A 20,422-nucleotide genomic window follows, 5' to 3' on the forward strand; every position below is an offset into this window, starting at 1 on the left:
CTGTGTTAGAATATAACATAAAGGGAGGAGAAGCATTTCCTCACCTAGCTTTAGTTGGCCACAGGCCAGTCACCCCTTTAGTCCCAGAAGACTCCACCTTTGTAGGATGCCCAGCTGTGGATAAGCAGTGCTAAGTGGGCAGATCACTGGGTCTGGCAGAGACCAGAGACTGCAGTGGGCATCAAGATGAGAAAGAAGCACAGGCAGTAGCCAGAAGTAGTGGAGTTTAATATGAATCAAACAGGAAATAATGGCAAAAACGGAAATTATTTTTGCAACTACCTAGTATCTTCTGGGCACTCAGAAAAGCATGGGGTAAGAGGTAGTCTTCCAAAAGGGTATGTGAGCAGCGGTCTTCTGTGGGAGCAAGAATCTGTGGAATTTTAGTTAACAGTTTATGCAACCCCATATCTATCTATGAGCGAATAAAAAATTTAATAGGGATTTTGGGAAAATTTAACAGGACATTTTGTTGAAGCTCAAAATGTAACCTCCTTCCCAACTCTTTTTCACTCTTTTTAGAATAGACAAGCCAAATTCCCATGGTTGAATATTCTTCAACAAGATTGAGAGTTGACTTTAGAGCCTAAGAGACAGGGTCTTTTACTCTTATAGAGAACACCATGCAGTGTATTTTCCCCTAAATTCTCCTGACTTTCTCAGTATTTCTCCAAGGAATACAACAGGTAGGGATACTGCCTTATGGTTTTTTGAGCCCTCATTACCACCTATCAATATTTAGCATGTATGTGGCCCTTATCAAGCAACTGTCCACAGTTTGATTGGGTCACAATCAGCTGCACTTTGATTTCATTGTTTCCAAACATGTTTTAATACCTGCTACGCGCTAGGAATACAAGAATATTTTACCTTCAATGCTTAAATCAAAGGCTAATATTCTTATAGTCCTAAGAGAAAAGGATTATTGGTTCTAAATTAAAATGTTCTGCCTTATCCCCATACAATGTAGAAACCAGTCTACAGGCACATTTTTTTTTTCTAAAGTGAAAGAACACAATTTAATAACAACTGGGTAGTTGTGTTGAGGCAAAAGATTTTCTCTTGTTTCTCAGTAAAACCCCAGGAGGTCAAGCTTACATATTCCTGTGAAGAAGTAAGTGCGAATAGAGTATAAGGGTTCTGCCAAGAGGTGCTTCGGGAGCTGCCAGCATTGGTGTTCTCAAACACCTTCCTCTCCCTGTCACTGTGGCACTAAGGCCCACTTGTTAGAGTTTAATGTGGTTCACCTTTGCTTCACAGATCCAGATGTTTCCAGGAATAGTTCTATCCACAGGACTGAAGAGTGAGTATGGTATCAATGCCCATCACATTTAGATTTACTTCTTGCTACTTAATTCCAGTGCAGCCATTATTATGGCTTATCGCTAAGAACATACATTGAACCACATGTCGAGAGCCAATGATGAAACCTCTTATTGTCCTACAGTATTTTTTTCCACCTGAAAAGAATTATCTCCTTCAATTCCAGATGATGTTTTTACCCCTTTGATGTAGGAAGCACCATTATTTTTACTTTATATGGAGGAGATACCTCTTTTATTTATGGGGTCAGCTTACCTGAGATGCAGAAGTCTACTAGTTAACATCTCAGTGGTGCTATCAGCCTCTCCTGTGGAGCAAAGGCAGTTTCTTCTGAAGTCTGGAGGTGAGGGGAGAAAGGAAAAGGGATAGAGCTCTGCTTTTTCTGTTTTAACGCTACAGATAGGAAGTGGCCACCAGCTTGCACACAGTGCCCTGTACGTAGTGGCAAAGTTTGTGTCAGGGAGAGAACAAGAGTCTACTCTTCATTGCCTGTGGTCATGACCAACCTATTTCCAATTATACTTATTTTAGAAGTTGTCCCTTTCTTCTCAGGCTTTCAGGAATAACTGTGCTCAAACCATTTTATTATCTGGGGATATTACTTTGAAAATGTCATTGAGAATGAATGCTTTGCTTGGAGACAAAATAGTGCCACTTGTTAGCTCAAGTGAGAGACTACCAAAGGTGTACTTTGTCCATTTTCCTAGGAAACTTTTTAGAAATGTTTTATAGTGCTTAGCGGGGAAGCTGCCACAAAGTAGGCAAATGTTTGCTGAATGACAAAATAAATGAATAAGAGCTCTGATGAAGCTATAGCAATATTATGTTAAAGACACACAGATATAGTTATGTGGATTATTATTTGCAGACATACACTACTTCTTGAATGCAGCAATCATTACAGCTTTATAAATAGAAATCCTCTAGTGTCATGAATCTTTGGGGGGATTTAGTAGAGTCTTTGGGAGGATTTATGTCCATGCTCAGCCCCAAAGATAATCTTGGACCATATTTATTTGCTTGACTATTTTTATAATAATATTACAATGCTTAAATTTTGTTTTAAGCATGATTTAAACCCAGCAGGTAGGGTTTACTTGGTGAAATACAAAGGCAATTCCACTTCTGAAATAATGTCTCATGTATTAGGTACCATGCAGGCTCAATAAAAGTAGATAGATTTCCTTCACCCGAAGCTTTTAACAAAAAAAAAAAAAAAAAAAAAAAGAAAGAAAAGAAATTGTGTTTTATATTAATATGCTATGTTACTATAATACTGCTACATTGATATGGGCCTTCTTCATAATATCAGAAGTGAAGTGTATTGGACATCAGATACCTAACTTTTATATAATTGAAGGACTCACAGCACTGACTTTATTGGTAGATAGTATACATATATATTTTTATGGTGGAAACCCTAATATGATGATTCATATTGTTAAAAAAGAATTACATTTTTTGATGCTCTGAGTCATGCCCTATTTAAGAGATCCATTTTTGAGCTTATAATGAAGCACTGATAAATATTAAAATAAAAAATAAAGATAATTGGTACCAGGACTTTATTAGGCATTTCACTGAATACAAATAAACTTTTATTTTTTACATTAAGAACACAATCTTATTTAAAAAATTCACATTTTCTATACAGACTGTAGCCATGGATTTTCTTTACACCACATTTATTAAAGTATCAATAACCAGATCCTAAAAAGAGAAGGCACAGATCTGTCTCTCTCTGGTGAATTTCTGGTGTCTAATGAAGGAAATGTCACCAGCTCTGCAAATTCCCATCCTCCAGAAATGAAGCAAATCAACACAAATGTGTGTAAGCAGGAGTCATGAGATGGACATGTTATATTAAAGGATTTGGATTTTCCTCTGCCACTTATAGGAATTTCAGGAGAGGAGGTAGCTACTGAAAATGTTTCAAAATTCCATCTGCATTCAGTCTCTGTCAAGGATTCACTGTTGGAAACAGTAGTATTTGAAAGCTAGAATTTAGGAATTCCAACATGGTTCTATTTTCTGCATTGTTTTAGAAACCAGCCTTTGATCTCACTGTTCTTATTTTAGGGCTTCTTGGGTTTTCAATTCCAAAAAAAAATAGTACTGGTCGTTATAATTTGCTTTGACGAGTCTCTCTGCCAGGTGATAGCTGCATGTCAGGGTCAGATTCTATCCCCTACTTGCGCCTGCCTCCCCTGTCCCCCAACAATGTTCTGAGAAGGTGTCACCAGGGCAGTGTCTATACCTCAGACTCTTTTATTCTTCCAGCAGTGAAGACAGTTCCTATGTCACCTTTCTACAATTCCGTAGATGACCAGTTTTAACCTGATAAAAATAATTTGTGGTAAGATGTGAATGGGGGAAATAATGAATTCGTTTGTTATCTCTCTGAAAGAAAAAAGAAATTGAATTTAAAAGAGGTCCTGGTACTGAGTTAGGCGGTGTTGCCACTTTTCAGGAGCATTTCTAATATGTCGGTGTGTTTTTGGTTGTCCCAGTTACTGGGAAATGCTATATAAGGGATTAATGGGGAAACTTGGACCTCACAACAGGCTGGCAAAGGGAAGTGTTGAACATGGTGGCATTGATCCTATGAAGATATTTACTTGATTATCCCATCTGTATTTGAGTTCGTCCTTCAAAAAGCATTTGCAGGACCTAGAGCTGACCAATGTTTTCTTTCTTGAAGGACATTATGACTGCAGATATTCATAAGGTGTCTGAACACAAGGGTATGGAGGGAGGTAGATCTCGCCCCTTATAGATAGCCCAGCTGAAAAAGATAGAAAGGCAGTGTGGATAGAATTGTGAGATTTAGGAAAAAATATATAGGACATACCCAGTTACATTTGAATTTCAGATAAACTTTTTTTAAAGTGAAAGTATGTCTGATTAAATATATGAGAAATATGCTAAAGAAATACTGTTTATCTGAAATTTAAATTTCACTGGATATCCTGTATTTTACCTGGCAACTCTAAATATTGAAAAGGAATAACTAAGGATGGAGAAAGAAAGGAAATAAGAAAGTTAATTAATATTCTGTAATCAGATCCAAGCCCAAAGAAGGTCACAGAATTTTTGCTTCAAGCATGACCACATGTGTAGATCCTTGTCAGTCATGAGTTTTCTATTGCTAGACTAATTCTACACGTGGGGCAGACCAGAAAAGTGTGTGGGTTGCATGCTTGTTTTCTCGAGAAGAGAACCATGTTGGAACCACCTAGTATGGATGGGCCTTTAAAAGCTCTCCTAACACCAAGGCAGTTCATCTTACTTGGGAAGATTGAATTTTAAAAAGTAATGGTTTGGAGAAACAATTTTTCATGGAAAATTTATCATTAAAGAAAAATGGGTGCCATGTTGGGAAGGTCAACTTTAAAGGTGTACTGGTTCTATTGTTGATGAAAACAAATTAGTCTGTATGAAAATGAAGTTAATATATGAATTGATGTTTGATTATTACGAAAAGCAATGGGGTACCTCACAAGGTGGACAGTTTGCTTGTGGGAACTCAGATAGGTTCTAAAGCCCATTCCTCACAAAATTAAAAGACACCATTTTTAACAAAAACTTAATTTCTGTTTCAATTTTAAATCCAAATTGCAAAAACAACAAAAAAGTGTTAATAAATTAAGGCTGGTCACAATGTGCCCTTTTTCTTTAGGATAAGTTTGATTTTTGATAAGATATTATATACTTACACACACATACCACATACAAGCACATACTTTTGACTCATACAAATATACGTTTAAAACTATTACCTACAAAATAGTATCACAATTGAAATAACAATTACACAATTTTCAACAGATTCAATTGACATGTTTTACAAATTCTACAGAACACTTTATCATTATCATTGGGAAAACAAACAATTTAGAGCATTATTTAAAACTGTATGTAACACAGGAGCCACCAATAAGTTATGGCAGATATAGCATTTACACCATAGTGTCACTGAAATCTAGCTGAAAAGACTAAAGTGCTGTAAAATAAAATGCTCTTAAAAACCTTGTTTAGCATATCCTGAGGACACTGTGCATTATTTTCTATTAGCAATTCAAAGTGAGCACTCTGCCTACGGAACTCCTGTTTGGTTGAGTGACCAAAGATTAAAAGATTGTGTCGTTGGATCTGTAAAACTGTGAAACTAAAAAACTCATGGAAACATGCATTTCCTGAGACTTCCAACTTTCCAGTCTGGAATCCTAACAAGGAAGAACCTGAACAAATAACCCTGGCTAAAAACATGTCAGAACTTCAAAGAACTTAAAACAACTTTAAGTGAAGATGTGTGTATGTGTTTGTAATTTATATTCTAGTCCATTATGGATTCTCTAATTTGAAGTGAAATTGAGAATTTAGATAGACTGTTCGTGCCAGGCATTTTCTATTTCTGATGGCCTCACTTTTCATTGGTTTTCTAGTTACTTTTCTCCTCTTAAATATTTAAATATTTGAATTATGTTTATATCTACTAATGTAGGAGATATTGATTTTAAGAGTTGAAACAGCAATAGACTCAGATTGATTAGAGTGCAGTTTCAACTTGAATAATAAGTATATGTGTGTGAAATGTGCATTCTGTGTGTGTGTGTAATGTGTGTATGTGCACATACAGGTGTATACATGGCAAACATTTTATACTCTAATACATTCACTGTTAGGTGGCACTCCATGAAAAGTAAGTTTTCCCAGTATGGCTGAAAGTCAATATTGAGGTCATCATATAGAATATCCTAAGGCTTTTAAAAGATGCCTCCTCATTCTCTGCATTTACATTATTGTGTGGTAAATAGGGAGACATAAATGATAATGGCAGAAGAAAAATTTGCTATATTAGTCCTTGAAAATTACAGACAGGAAATCAAACTTAAAAATGATCTCTTTGCATATTTTCTCTCATTCCACCCACTCCTTTGATTTCCTGCTGTAGATTGGGTAAAAGTTAGATTGTATTTGTTTGGTTGTTTTGTTTTGTTTTGTTTTTTTGCCTCACAGGACTTGTGAAATAGTCTTAAGAAACAAGTAAAACAAAAAGTGCACCAAGGTGTATCTACCACCATCTTGGCGCCCATGTGTAGCCCTTGTGCTACAAGCTCTCTGAAAAGACAATGCCCAGCTGAGACAAATGTGCATAGGCTAAGGATAAGCTTCGATTGCATATCACCATTTTTTACTTTTGGAAGGCCCGCAGCCTGCTTCCCCAGTGTGCTCCAGGGCAGAACTAATGGATAGAAGACAGTCAAAGGCACCTTCTCTCCATTCCCCTTTCCAAGGACTCCCTTTTAGTAAACTCCCCCTCTAGCTGGAGGACCCATGGTTCCCTTCTACCTCTTCCCTCCTTTATAAATTAAGGCAAGTCCATTTACTCTAAGTGCCTGCTACATAGGCACTGTATGTCCACATGGAAACCATAGCATTGGCTTGAAACTGCCTTTTGTCTAACAAGGTTTCTGGGTGCATATCATTAGCAGCAGTACAAAGCTTTCCCTAGTTAAAAAACTGCACAATTATTCAAAAGCTTCATCATGTTTGTTTTTTTCCAGAACCCAGTTGACAAATAGGACAAAGTTAATTCTAAGCAAACACTATGAGAAAGTATCTAGGTTCAAGAAAATACAACATAGTTACCTCTATATTTTATTCATGATATGATGAAAAATCTGTTTTCCATTATATTTATAAAATTAAATTCATGTGTCATTGCAAATATTCTTGGCTAAGATCCTCCTGAAGGATGAATGAATAGCCAGTTAGAGAGAAAGTCTGCCCAAAAACCAAATTTACGGGACATACATTTCAATAATCCTAATCATTTTAAAAGGATTCATATACATTTTCACATAAAGAGCAGGTGTAAAAGACAGAAAGATAATAAAACTACAAGGGAAGGGAAAATGGAAAGAAGAGAAGAAATATATTTTAAAAATAATTAAGTCCTACACTAGAATTCTTTTACAAAAATACTTTGATGTGATCATCTACTCTACTTTCAAAGGTTTTATTACTCTTTTTCACACAATATTAAGGGTTTCAGTCTTAAAATTAAATTATTTAATATTATCAATGTCTTCATTTGAAAAGAAGAATTGTACTGTGTCCATATCTGTGTGTGTTTCTGTATGTTTGAATTTGTATGCTATCACAGGAATGGGCATATGTTTGTATATTGTATATGGCAAGATGTATACACACAACCCAAATGTATACACACATTTTTGTGTGTACATGTATGCTATTTGGTATACCACAGGTACATACACACTCCTCATAAACATTCTCTTCAGTATAAACAATTTCTTTTCCTCCCTTTAATTGCTAATAAGTACTATTTTCTGATCATGAGTATTTATAATCTTGAAATCAACTCTTGATTATTTGTGGTCTTGACATATATGGTTTTGAATTGAACTCCCTTATCTAAGTCTAAGAGATTAAGCCATATGTGCTACATTTAAGTTCATTAAAAGCTGAGGGCATGCTTTTATTTCTCTATGACCCTACTTTGCATGGACTGTATTATCCTAGGAAACTATTGGGGTGTGATTATTTCTAAACATGAAAATAAAATAATTAATAATTGTAAGAATTTCATCAAATTTTATAATTTTATAAACACCTCACAATATTCCTGTGAAGTACATAGGCAAGGATTATTGTGCTCTAAGTTTTTTTTTTTTATTTTTTAGAGTTGTCAAATATCACAATGACACGAAGGAGGAAGTAACGCTCAAGCTGTGTCATTGTTCTTCCCTGTAGACCCGGACTATTAAACGTTAGGTTGCAGAAACTTTGTGTGAAACTTTTGCCTCTGCCTTAATCTCATCCCTCGGATAGGATGAAACTCAGAAGTGAGGAGTCAGAGCCAATTTTAAACAAGTCCATTCAGACCTCATAAATTTCAAGTTTCCTAAAGATATTTCAGAGATCCCTGTGATTTCATGGACATAATTTCAAACACATTGCTCTAACTGCTTCTACCAGCCTTCCTCTTTCTTTCCTTCAAGTCAAAAACTTGCAGTTTCTTGAAAAATCTTCCTTAAAATCTGGAATTTAGAATTAAATATTTGAAAATCCCAAATTGGCAGGAAAGCTTGCAGTCTTTTTCTTCTTCCTTCCTCTCTTCCTCCCTCCCTCCCTCTCTTCCTCCCTCCCTCCCTCTCTTCCTTCCTTCCTTCCTCCCTTCCTTCCTTCCTCCCGTCCTTCCTTCTGTCCTTCCCTCCCTTCTTCCCTCCCTTCCTCCCTCCCTTCCTTTCTTCCTTTCCTTCCTTCCTTCCTTCCTTCCTTCCTTCCTTCCTTCCTTCCTTCCTTCTGTCTTTTTCTTTCATCAAGAGCATCATTAAGAGGGCTTTTTAAAGAGTTATTTTCAGAGTTTTCAATTTTAACACACTTGTACCTTACCATTTACTGGGTACTTGCAGGGCAATATTATTTAAGAGATTGCCAAATTAAAATGCCATACATCTCTTTCACCCCTCAACCATTTTTCCCTCTGAAATTGGCATTCACAGCTCTCCAAAAACATTTTTCTCCTATATTTATAGCTGCCTTAAATAGAAATACTGTGAAACACTATTATTTTCATATAACAAAAATCACTGATTATGACCTTCAATATTACTGATGCATGGAAACTGATTTGATGCAGATTTTCTATGACCAAAAATTAGCTATGATTGCCCAACTGTGGATGACTATAGAGCATTATAACAAGTCCCACAAAACTAGTAAGTTTTAAGACAACAATGTAATACACAAAATGTTGGGCATTCAATTGTTTTGATTCCCATACAGCATCTGATTAAAAAGAGCGAGCAAGAGAGGGAGCAGAAAGGTTGCAGGGTATAGACAGCGTAGGAGTCATAGGCTGGAAATAGAGAACCTAATCAAGTAAACACTCATGAATTCTATGTTACAAAGACTAATTTTGAAAAACAAAGTTACTGGTCTTTTTTTTTTATTCCTAACACTAGAAGTAGATTTTGCTCATCAAATGGGAAATGAAATATTTATAGTAATGAAGAGTATGATTGTAATCACTGAAGAAACAGTTTTTCCCCTTTTCCCACCCACTACCAGCCCTATTCCCTTCAGAGACTCAGTGGAATAGGAAGATCAGAGTGTTTACAGATAGTATGCCCTAATACAATGAGCTTTCTCCATCTTATTCATGGAAACTCCAAGTAGTGCTATCAAGTGTTGGCTTCTCCTTCATCAAAGACATAGTTGAGCTTTATGACAGTGCTGATAAAGTCACCAAGTTCTACAAAATCGGCAGTGACAATATTGATGCCACTCTCTCCTGGCTTCTGCGTGCGGACCCACTGCATCATGGCAGGAAGAGCTCTGAGAAAGGAAACAAAAAGAAAAGTCACAGAAGGCAAGATACTATTTTTCAAGCTCTACAATTCTCAGTCTTCCCTTTAGTTTCTAGCTTATTAAAATAAATGTTTCACGTATAGGTACAGGAAGGGGAAAAGGCCAAATGGACTCTGGGGATTTTTTAACCTTTGAAGAAACTCTGCAGGAGAAATATTCACTATATTGATCCGTATTGGAGTTCTCATCTCGGCAGATCCCAGATACTGTGATAGTTTATAATGATGCTTCCCTACTAAGAAAACAACATTTTTGCATTTGTATTCTGATTTAACATGGTGTCATCACAAACCCTGCAAAACTACGGATTGGGGAGGTCAGAGATGAATACATGCACTTAGCAAACATTTATTATGAACCCACTATTATGAGGAAATGTGCTAAGATATTGTAAATAGACATAATAGTAAAATCCCCTGCCTTCAGAAAGTACACAGTTTGGTGGTGGGTAGGCAGACAAGGAAGAAATTGTAGCACAATATAATCAGGGCTCATTCCTTCAAACACATTTACTGGGCACCTATTAAGTTCCAGTCATCAGTGTAGGCACCTGGAGGATTCAAGTGAACAAAACAGATAAAAATATCTTTCCCTGTGGAGCTTACATTCTCATAAGGAGAAACAGACAATAAACAATAGTCATAAAAATATGTAGTTTGATAGAAGGGAATAAGTGCTATAAAAATGGAGCAAAGAAAAGAAGATTAGGAATCTGCAGGTAGGGAGGAGAGATGCAGATTGCATTTTAAAATAGGGTGGCTTAATAGGCCTCAGTGATAAAGGGACATTTGTGCAAAGGTTTGAAGGAGACAAGGGAGTTAGTCATGTGGCTATCTAGGGAAAGCATCCCAGCTATTGCCATGGCACTAATGGGGTAGCATGCTTAAGCTTAGAGAAAAGAAGAGAGTAGTAAAAAAAATGAGGATACTGAGGAAAAGGGGGCAGATTCTGTAGGGCACATTAGGCCATTATAAAAGTTTTGATGTTCACTCTGAGTAAAATAGGGGGCCTTTGAATTATCTTGAGCAGAGGAGTGGTGTGATTTGACTTTCACTATAAGAGCTCATTCATCACCATGAGATCATAGTGGAGAGTCACTTAGCATAGCCTGGAAAATCAAGGAAAGTCTTCTGAAAACCTTTCAGAAGAATGCTTGCTAAAATAAATATTGAAGGATTAGGAAGATTTAGCTGGATAAAGGTGAGAATGGTAGATGGAGGATGATGCAATGCACTTTCAGGCAGAGGAAATACCATTTTTTCATTTGCTGACAGAATCATGGTGTGTGCTTAGGAGCAATGGATCCAGGCAGACAGATACAGGTGATGTTAATGATGATGTCCAGCATCTTCTGACAGCATATTGGAATGAGAACTACTATAACTTGGTCAGGGCAGGAAGGGAAGTTTCCATGACAAAAGGATAAATGAACAGGCCAGAGACATGATAGTGTATTAATAAAGAAAGTTTGAGGGAAATACATGTGAACATTAAATTCCTGGATGAAATGGAGAGGGAGAGGGAGAGAAAAGGGAAGAAGGGGAGGAGAGTTTAAAAACCTAGAAGAAGTTGTATAAAAAAGGTAAGGTAGTTTTGAAAGATGTTAAAGAGAAAAAAAAAAACCCAGACAATAGAGGGCCTTGAGAAATATATAACAACTGAATTGGGAGGCTGAGCAAGATGGTGGAACAGAAGGCTCCGCATACCCCTGCAAGGTCATCGTCCTTCCTGCAAGGATACCAAGTTAACAACTATTTACACAGCAAAAAACACCTTTATAAGAACTAAAAATCAGATGAGTACCTTTAGTACCTGGATTTAACTTTATATCGCGGAAAATGCCACAGAAGAAATAGAAAAAGCAGTCCTGAATCACTGACACCCTCCCTCTCAACCTCCACCAGCAATGGCCTGTTGTGGAGAGCATCTCTGGGCTCTGGGCAAGGGAGAATACAGTAATTGTGAGGCATTAAACTCAGTGCTGTCCTGCTAGAGCAGAAATGAAAACCGGACCTAACTCAGCGGACGCCCAGTCACACAGGGAATATTTAAACCAGGCCTAGCCAGAGAGGGAATCACAGATCCCAGCAGTCAGAACTTGAGTGCCTGCAAATCTCACCACAGAGGGCTATAGTGTTCTGTGTCTCCAAGTAAATTTGAAAGGCAGTCTAGGTCATAAGAACTGCAACTCTTAGGCAACTCCATACTGAGACATCAGCTTAGGTAACCAAGGGAGTGCTGGCATCACCTCTCCCCTAAACCCAGGCTGCACAGCTTGTGGTTTCAAAAGAGACCCCCTTCTTCCACTTGGGAGAAGAGGGGGAAGAATGGTGAGGACTTTGTCTTGCCTCTTGGATACCAGCTCAGCCACAGCAGGATAGGGCACCAGTCAGAGTCATGAGGTCCCCGTTCCAGGCCCTAGCTCCCAGATGACATTTCTAGACACACCCTGGGCCAGAAGGGAACCTGCTGCCTTGAAGAAAAGGATGTAGACCTACCAGCATTCATCACCTGCTAACTGAAGAGCCCTTGGCCCCAGATAACCAGCAGAGATATCCAGGTACTACATCTTGGGTCTTGGGTGAACCTCTGAGGCTTGCTTGCAAGTAAGACTCAGCATATTACTAGCTATGGTGGCTGTGGGACAAAACTTCTTCTTGTTGAGAAAAGCAGAGAGAAAAGTAAAGGGGACTTTGTCTTGCACCTTTGGTACCAACACTGCCATGGTTGCTAGAGCACCAAGCAGACTCTTAGAGTCCCCGATTCCAGGACTTCACTGTTGGATGGCATTTCTGGACCTGCCCAGGGTCAGAGGGAGCCCACTGCCCTGAAGGGTGAGTCCCAGGCTAGGCAGCATCCACCAGAAGCAGACTTAAGAGATCTTGGACCTTAAGGGAACATCAGTGGTAGTCTGGAAGTACTCATCATGGCTAGGGTGGTGGTGGCTATAGGGTGAGGCTCCTGTACCTTTGGAAAGGACAGGGAAGACTGGTAAGGACTGTGTCTTGTGTTTTTAGTGCCAGTTCAGCTGCAATGTAATTGGATACCAGATAAATTTCTAAGGTTTTTGGCTCTACTCCCTGACTCCAGATGGCACTTCTGGACCCACCCAGGGCTTGGGGGACCTTGCCATCCTGAAAGGAAGGATACAGACGTGGCTGGCTTTGCCACCTGCTGATTGTTCAGCCCCAGGGCCTTGAGAAACCATACACAATAGCCAGGGACTGGTTACAGCAGGCCCTGCATGAGACCCAGTACTTTGCTGGCTTCAGGTGTGACCCAGCACAGCACAGTCATAGTAGTGGTGGCCACAGAGGTGCTTGTGTCATTCCATCTGCAGGTTTAGGTGGTTCAAAATGGAGTGGGAGACTCTGTATGTTTGGAAGAAAGTAAGGAAAGAGAACAAATCTCTGCCTGGTAACTTAGAGAATTCTCCCATATCTGGACCAAGGCCATCAAGGTGGTACCTCTACAAGTCATCAGGAATCACAGCATTACTGGTCTTGGGGTGCCCCCTAAAGCAGATACAGTTTAGATCACAATACCTTAGTCTTTTCAAATTTCCAGAAGGCCTCCCTGAGAAGGATGGCTACAAATAAGCTCAGACAGCAAAGACTAGAATAAATGCCTAACTCTTCAATGTCCAGACATTGAAGAATATCTAACTAGCATCAACACCATCTGGGGAAAGGTGACCTCACCATATGAACTAAATAAGGCACCAGGGACCAATCCTGGAGAAACAGAGATATGTGACCTTTCAGACAAAGAACTCAAAGTAGCTGTGTTAAGGAAACTCAAATAGGTTCAAGACAACACAGAGAAGGAATTCAGAATTCTATCAGATAAATTCAATGAAGATATTAAAATAATTAAAAAGAGTCAAGCAGAAATTTTCTGGAGCTGAAAAATGTAATTGGTATACTAAAGAATGCATCAGAGTCATTTAATGGCAGAATGGATCAAGCAGAAGAAACAGTGACCTTGAAGACAGGATATTTGAAAATATACAGAGGAGACAAAAGAAAAAATAATAAAAAACAATGAAGCATGCCTACAGGATGCAGAAAATAGGCTGAAAAGACAAATCTAAGAGTTATTGGCCTTAAATAAGTAGAAAAGAAAGACAAGGGTAGGATGTTTATTCAAAGAAATAATAACAGAGAACTTCCCAAACTTAGAGAAAGATATTAATATCCAAACACAAGAAGGCCAGGAGAGCATGACATGACATATTCAAGGTGCAGAAGGAAAAAAAACTTTTACCCTAGAGTGGGATGTCTGGCAAAAATATCCTTCAAACATGAAGGAGAAATAGACTTTCCCAGATAAACAAAAGCTGAGGGATTTCATCAATCCCAGACCCGCCCCACAAGAAATGTTAAAGGGAGTACTTCAATCAAAAAGAAAAGGACATTAATGAGCAATAAATAATCAGTAGAAGGTACAAAACTTACTGGTAATGGTAAGTACACAGAAAAACAAAGAATATTATAACACTGCCACTGTGGTATGTAAACTACTCTTATCCTTAGTAGAAAGACTAAACAATGAACCAATCAAAAATAAAAACTACAACAAAATTTCAAGGCACAGTCAGTACAATAAAATATAAGTAGAAACAACAAAATGTTTAAAAGTGGGGGGATGAAGTTAAGGCGTATTTTTATTAGTTTACTTTTTGTTTGTTTACTTATGCAAATAATGTAAAGTTGTTATCAAGTTAAAATAATGACTTATAAGATGGTATTTGCACACTTCCTGGTAACCTAAAACCAAAAACATGCAATGGATACACAAAAAATAAGAAGCAATAACTAAATCCTATCACCAGGTAAAGTCAACTTCACTAGAGGAAGACAGGAAGGAAAGAAAAAAGGAAGAGAAGACCACAACACAACCAGAAGACACATAACAAAATGCAAGGAGTAAGTCCTTACTTATCAATAACAACATTGAATGTAAATGGACTAAACTCTCCAATCAAAAGACATAGCCTGGCTTAGTGGATGAGAAAACAAGACCCAATGATCTATTGCCTACAAGAAACACACATCACCTGTAAAGACACACATAGACCGAAAATAAAGGGTTGGAAAAAGATTCCACACCACTGGAAACAAGCAAACAAACAAATGAACAAAAAAAGCAGGAGTTGCTATACTTATATCAGACAAAATAAATTTCAAAACAAAAACTGTAAGATGAGACAAATAATGTCACTGTGCCATGATAAAGGTTTCAATTCAGCAAGAGGATATAGCAATTGTAAATATATATGCAGTCAACACTGGAGGACCCAGATACATATAATAAGTATTTTTAGAGCTAAAGAGAGAAATAGGCCCTAAAACAATAATAGCCAGAGACCTCAACACCCTACTTTCAGTACTGAACAGATCTTCCAGACAGAAAATCAAGAAACATCAGACTTAATCTGCAGTATAGACCAAATGGATCTAATAGACATTTACAGAACATTTCATCCAAGAGCTTCAGGATACACATTTTTTTCCTCAGCGCATGGATCATTCTCAAGGATAGACCATATTTTAGGTCACAAAACATCTTAAAACATTCAAAACAATCTAAGTAATATCAAACATCTTCTCTGACCACAATGGGATATAACTAGAAATTAATGATGAGAGGAATTTTGGGAGTTCTACAACTACATGGAAATTAAACAGTACGCTCCTGAATGACCAGTGGGTCAATGAAGACATTAAGAAGGAAATTGAAAAGTTTCTTGAAACAAATAATAATGGAAACACAACACACCAAAACCTATGGGATACAGCAAAAGCAGTACTAAGAAGGAAGTTTATAGCTACAAGTGCCTGTGTCCCAAAAGAGAAAAAACTTCAAATAAACAATCTAATGATGCATCTTAAAAAACTAGAAAACCAAGAAAAAACCAAACCCCAAATTAGTAGAAGAAAAGAAATAATAAAGATCAGAGTGGTAATAAATGCAATTGAAATGAAAAAAATACAAAAGATCAATAAAACAAAAATGTCATTTGTTGAAAAGTTAAGCACAATGGACAAACCTTTAGCCATACTAAGAAAACAAAAGAAGATCCAAATAAATAAATAAAATCAGAAATGGAAAAGAGACATTACAACTGACACTGCAGAAATTCAAAAGTTCATTAGTGGCTACTATGAGCAACTACATGCCAATAAATAGGAAAACCTACAAGAAATGAACAAATTCCTAGACACATACAACCTACCAAGATTGAACTAGGAAAAAAATTCAAAACCTGAACAGACCAATAACAAGTAATGAGATCAAAGCCATAATAAAAAGTCTCCCAGTAAAGAAAACCCCGAGACCTGATGGCGTCACTGCCTAATAATTCTACCAAACATTTAAAGAAAAACTAATAGCAATCCTACTCTAATTATTTTGAAAAATAGAGGAGGAGGGAATATTTCCAAACTCACTCTATGAGGCCAGTATTACCCTGATAACAAAACCAAAGACACACCTAAAAACAAAAAAAAGAAAAAACAACAACTATAAGCCAATATTGCTGATGAATATTGATGTAAAAATTCTTAACAAAACACTAGCAAACTTAATTCAGGAATACATTAGAAAGACCATTCATCATGACCAATTGGGATTCATCCCTGGGATGCAAGGGTGGTTCAACATATGCAAATCAATTAATGTTTTGGTTTTTTAATTTTTTAATTTTTTGAGACGGAGTCTCGCTCTGTCGCCCAGACTGGAGTGCAGTGGCGCGATCTTGGCTCACTGCAAGCTCCACCTCCCGGGTTCACACCATTCTCCTGCCTCAGCCTCCAGAGTAGCTGGGATTACAGGCACCCGCCACCATGCCTGGCTAATTTTTTGTATTTTTAGTAGAGACAGGTTTTCACTGTGTTAGCCAGGATGGTCTCGATCTCCTGACCTCGTGATCCGTCCGCCTCGGCCTCCCAAAGTGCTGGGATTACAGGCGTGAGCCACTGCGCCCGGCCACATATCAATTAATGTGATACATCACATCAACAGAAAGAAGAATGAAAACCATATGATCATCTCAATTGATGCTGAAAAAGCATTTGATAGAAGTCAACATCCCTTCATTATAAAAAATCTTTTAAAAAACTGGAAATAGAATGAACATATCTAAACATAATAAAAACCATATACAACAGACCCACAGCTAGTATCATACTGAATGAGGAAAAAGTAGAAGCTTTTCCTCTAAGAGCTGGCACATGACAAGGATGCCCAGTGTCACTGCTGTTATTCAAAATAGTACTGGAATTTCTAGCTAGACCAATCAGACCAGAGAAAGACACAAAATGCTTCCAAATTGAAAAGAAAGTCAAATGTCCCTTGTTTGCAGATGATATGATCTTATATTTGGAAAAACATAAAGACTCTGTAAGAAAACAGAAGTGATAAGCAAATTCAATAAATTTGCAGTATACAAAGTCAACATACAAAAATCAGTAGCATTTCTGTATGCCAACAGTGAACAATGTGAAAAAGAATAAAAGAAGCAATCCCATTTACAATAGCCACACATAAAATTAAGTACCTAGGAATAAACCAAAAAAAGTGAAAGAGCTCTATAATGAAATCTATAAAACACTGATGAAAGAAGACACCAAAAAAATGCAAAAGTATACCATGTTTATAGATTGAAAGAATCAATACTGTTAAAGTGTCCATACTACTCAAAGCAGTCTACAGATTTAATGCAATCTACTGTCAAAATACTAATGATATTCTTCATAGAAATAGAAAAAGCAAACCTAAAATTTATGTGGAAACACAAAAGACCCAGCATAGCCAAAGTTATCCAAACCAAAAAGAACAAAACTGGAAGAATCACATTACTTTAAATTATCCTGCAGAGAAATACTAACTAACACAGCATGGCACTGGCATAAAAACAGACACATAGACCAAGAGAAAATAATAAATACAGAAGCAAATTCACACATTTACGGTCAACTCACTTTTGACAAAGGTGCCACAAACACACACTGGGGAAAAGACAGTATCTTCAGTAATGGTGCTGGGAAAATTGGATATCCAGATGCAAAAGAATAAAACTTGGCCACTATCTCTCACCTCTCACCATATACAAAAATCAGATCAAAATGGATTAAAGACTTAAACCTAAGACCTCAAACTATGAAACTACTATAAGAAAACTTTGGGGAAAATCTCCAGGACATTGGTCTGGGCAAAAATTTCTTGAGCAATACCCCATAAGCACAGGCAACCAAACCAAACATGGACAAATGGGATCACATCAAATTAAAAGGCTTCTGCACAGTGAAGGATACAATCAACAAAGTGAAGAGACAACCCACAGAATGGGAGAAAATATCTTCAAACTACCCATCTGACATGAGATTAATAACCAGGATATATAAGGAACTTGAACAACTTTATAGGAAAAAAAGCTAATTAATTAAAAGATGGGCAAAAGATTTGAACAGACATTTCTCAAAAGAAGACATACAAATGGCAAACAGACATATGAACATATGCTCAACATCATTGATTATCAGAGAGATGCAAATCATGTCATCCAAGTTAAAATGGTTTATATCCAGAAACAGGCAATAACAAATGCTGGAGGGGACATGGAGAAAAGGGAACCCTTGTATACTGTTGGTGGGAATGTACATTAGTACAACCACTATGGAGAACAGTTTGGAGGTTCTTCAAAAAACTGAAAATCGAGCTACCAAGTGATCCAGCAATCCCACTGCTGGGTATATACACAAAAGATAGAAAATCAGTATATTGAAGAGATATCTGCACTCCTATGTTTGTTGCAGCACTGTGTGTAATACCTAAGATTTGGAAGCAACCTAAATGTTCATCAACAGATGACTGGATAAAGAAAATGTGGCTGGGCGTGGTGGCCCACGCCTGTAATTCTAGCACTTTGGGAGGCTGAGGTGGGCAGATCTTGAGGTCAGGAGATCGAGGCCATCCTGGCCAACATGGTGAAACTCCGTCTCTACTAAAATACAAAAATTAGTTGGGTGTTGTGATGTGCACCTGTAGTCCCAGCTACTCAGGAGGCTGAGTCAGGGGAATTGCTTGAACCCAGGAGGAGGAGGTTGCAGTGAGTCAAGTTCGCACCACTGCACTTCAGCCTGGTGACAGAACAAGACTCTGTCTAAAAAAAAAAAAAAGAAAAGAAAAAAGAAAATGTGGTACATATACACAATGGAGTACTATACAGCCATAGAAAGGAATAAGATTCAGTCATTTGCAACGACATGCATGGAACTGGAGATCATTATGTTAAGTGAAATAAGCCAGGTACAGAAAGACAAATATCACACGTTGTCACTTATTTATGAGATCTAAAAATCAAAACATTGAACTCATGGACACAGAGAGAAGGATGGTTACCAGAGGCTAGGAAGCATAGTGGGAGAGCTATGGATGAGGTGGGGTGGTTAAAAAGTATAAAAAAAAGTTAGAAAGAAGAAATGAGATCTATTTGATAGCACAACAGACTGATTAGAGTCAATAATAACTATACATTTTAAAATAACTTAAAAAGTGTAATTGGATTGTTTGCAACTCAATGGGCAAATGCTTGAGGGAAGGGATACCCCATTCTTCACAGTAAGCTTATTTCACATTGCATGCCTTTATCAATACATCTAATGTACCCATAAATATATACACCTACTATATACCCACAAAAATGAAAAAGAAAAAGAAAAGAAATACATAGCAACTGAAAACTGTTAGCTAGGGGAATACTATGATTAGATTAGTGATTTAGAGATTAGTTTGACTTCAGTGTAGACAAGTGATGGGAGAGAGCAACACTAGGGGCAGAAATCACAATTAGATGCTGCTGAAGTAATCCAGACCAGAGATAGTGGTTGCTTGAATTGCAGTAGCAGCAGTGTATATATATATGAAAGACACCTGAAATCTAGATGTCATCTAAAATGACATCTGATATGAAACTGGATGTAGAAGGAGAGGAAGAAAGGGACCATGAATTATGCCTAGATTTCTAGAAGTATTCTGGCACGTGGACATCATTCACTCATCTTGGAAAGACAGGAGCGAAGCCTTTCCAGCAAGCATGATAAGTTCAGTCTGATATATGTTGATTTTGAGGTGACTTTGGAACACATGAGTTGAGATCTCAAGTGGCAGGTAAGTACAGGTCTTATATGCAGGACAGAGAGCTGCTCAGAAGTCATCACAAACAGAGAATAGTTGGAGCTGTGAACGTGGATAAGATCACTTAGATTTTGAGGAGGAGGAAGAAAAGAGAAAAAATCAGAAGCATTTAAGGGATGGGCAGGAAAATGGATTCCATAGAAGGCAATCAGAAGTAGATGCAGAAGTAGGAGGAAAATCAGGAGCATATAGTGTCATGAAAATCAAGAAAAGAAGGAAGCCATGCTCCTTTTGGAAACTAAGAAGAGCTGAGTGAGATTTAAGCAGGGAGTGTGATAAATGTGCATTTCCCCAGATCTCAGAAAGTATATCCAGTCTAAAGAAATTCAGCCCGTTCAGACAACACTGGGTCAATGACCTTGAGCTACACTAATCCCCGGCTAGTACCTTAAAAATCCTGATCCATAATTTCAGCATATACATTTTCCTGTCAGACCCAGATAGAGGAGGACTCAGTTGTTTCTAAAAGAGCATAATGTTGACCTAAATGGCCCAATGC

The 20,422-nt window shown here is 37.6% G+C and overlaps 1 protein-coding gene across 2 annotated transcripts in view; it reads right to left on the minus strand.

Annotated features, from left to right (window-relative positions):
- Positions 1–2,871: 2,871 nt before the first annotated feature.
- The window catches only part of PLCXD3 (phosphatidylinositol specific phospholipase C X domain containing 3), a 203,650-nt gene continuing 186,099 nt past the window's right edge, over positions 2,872–20,422 (minus strand). For both annotated transcript variants that reach the window (NM_001005473.3, XM_017009438.3), the window contains exon 3: positions 2,872–9,690. In NM_001005473.3, coding sequence (NP_001005473.1) covers positions 9,537–9,690 — 154 coding nt within the window. In that variant the 3' untranslated portion in view covers positions 2,872–9,536. The remainder of the gene's footprint in view (positions 9,691–20,422) is intronic.

The sequence above is a fragment of the Homo sapiens genome, chromosome 5 (assembly GCF_000001405.40).
Source record: "Homo sapiens chromosome 5, GRCh38.p14 Primary Assembly".
NCBI lineage: Eukaryota > Metazoa > Chordata > Mammalia > Primates > Hominidae > Homo > Homo sapiens.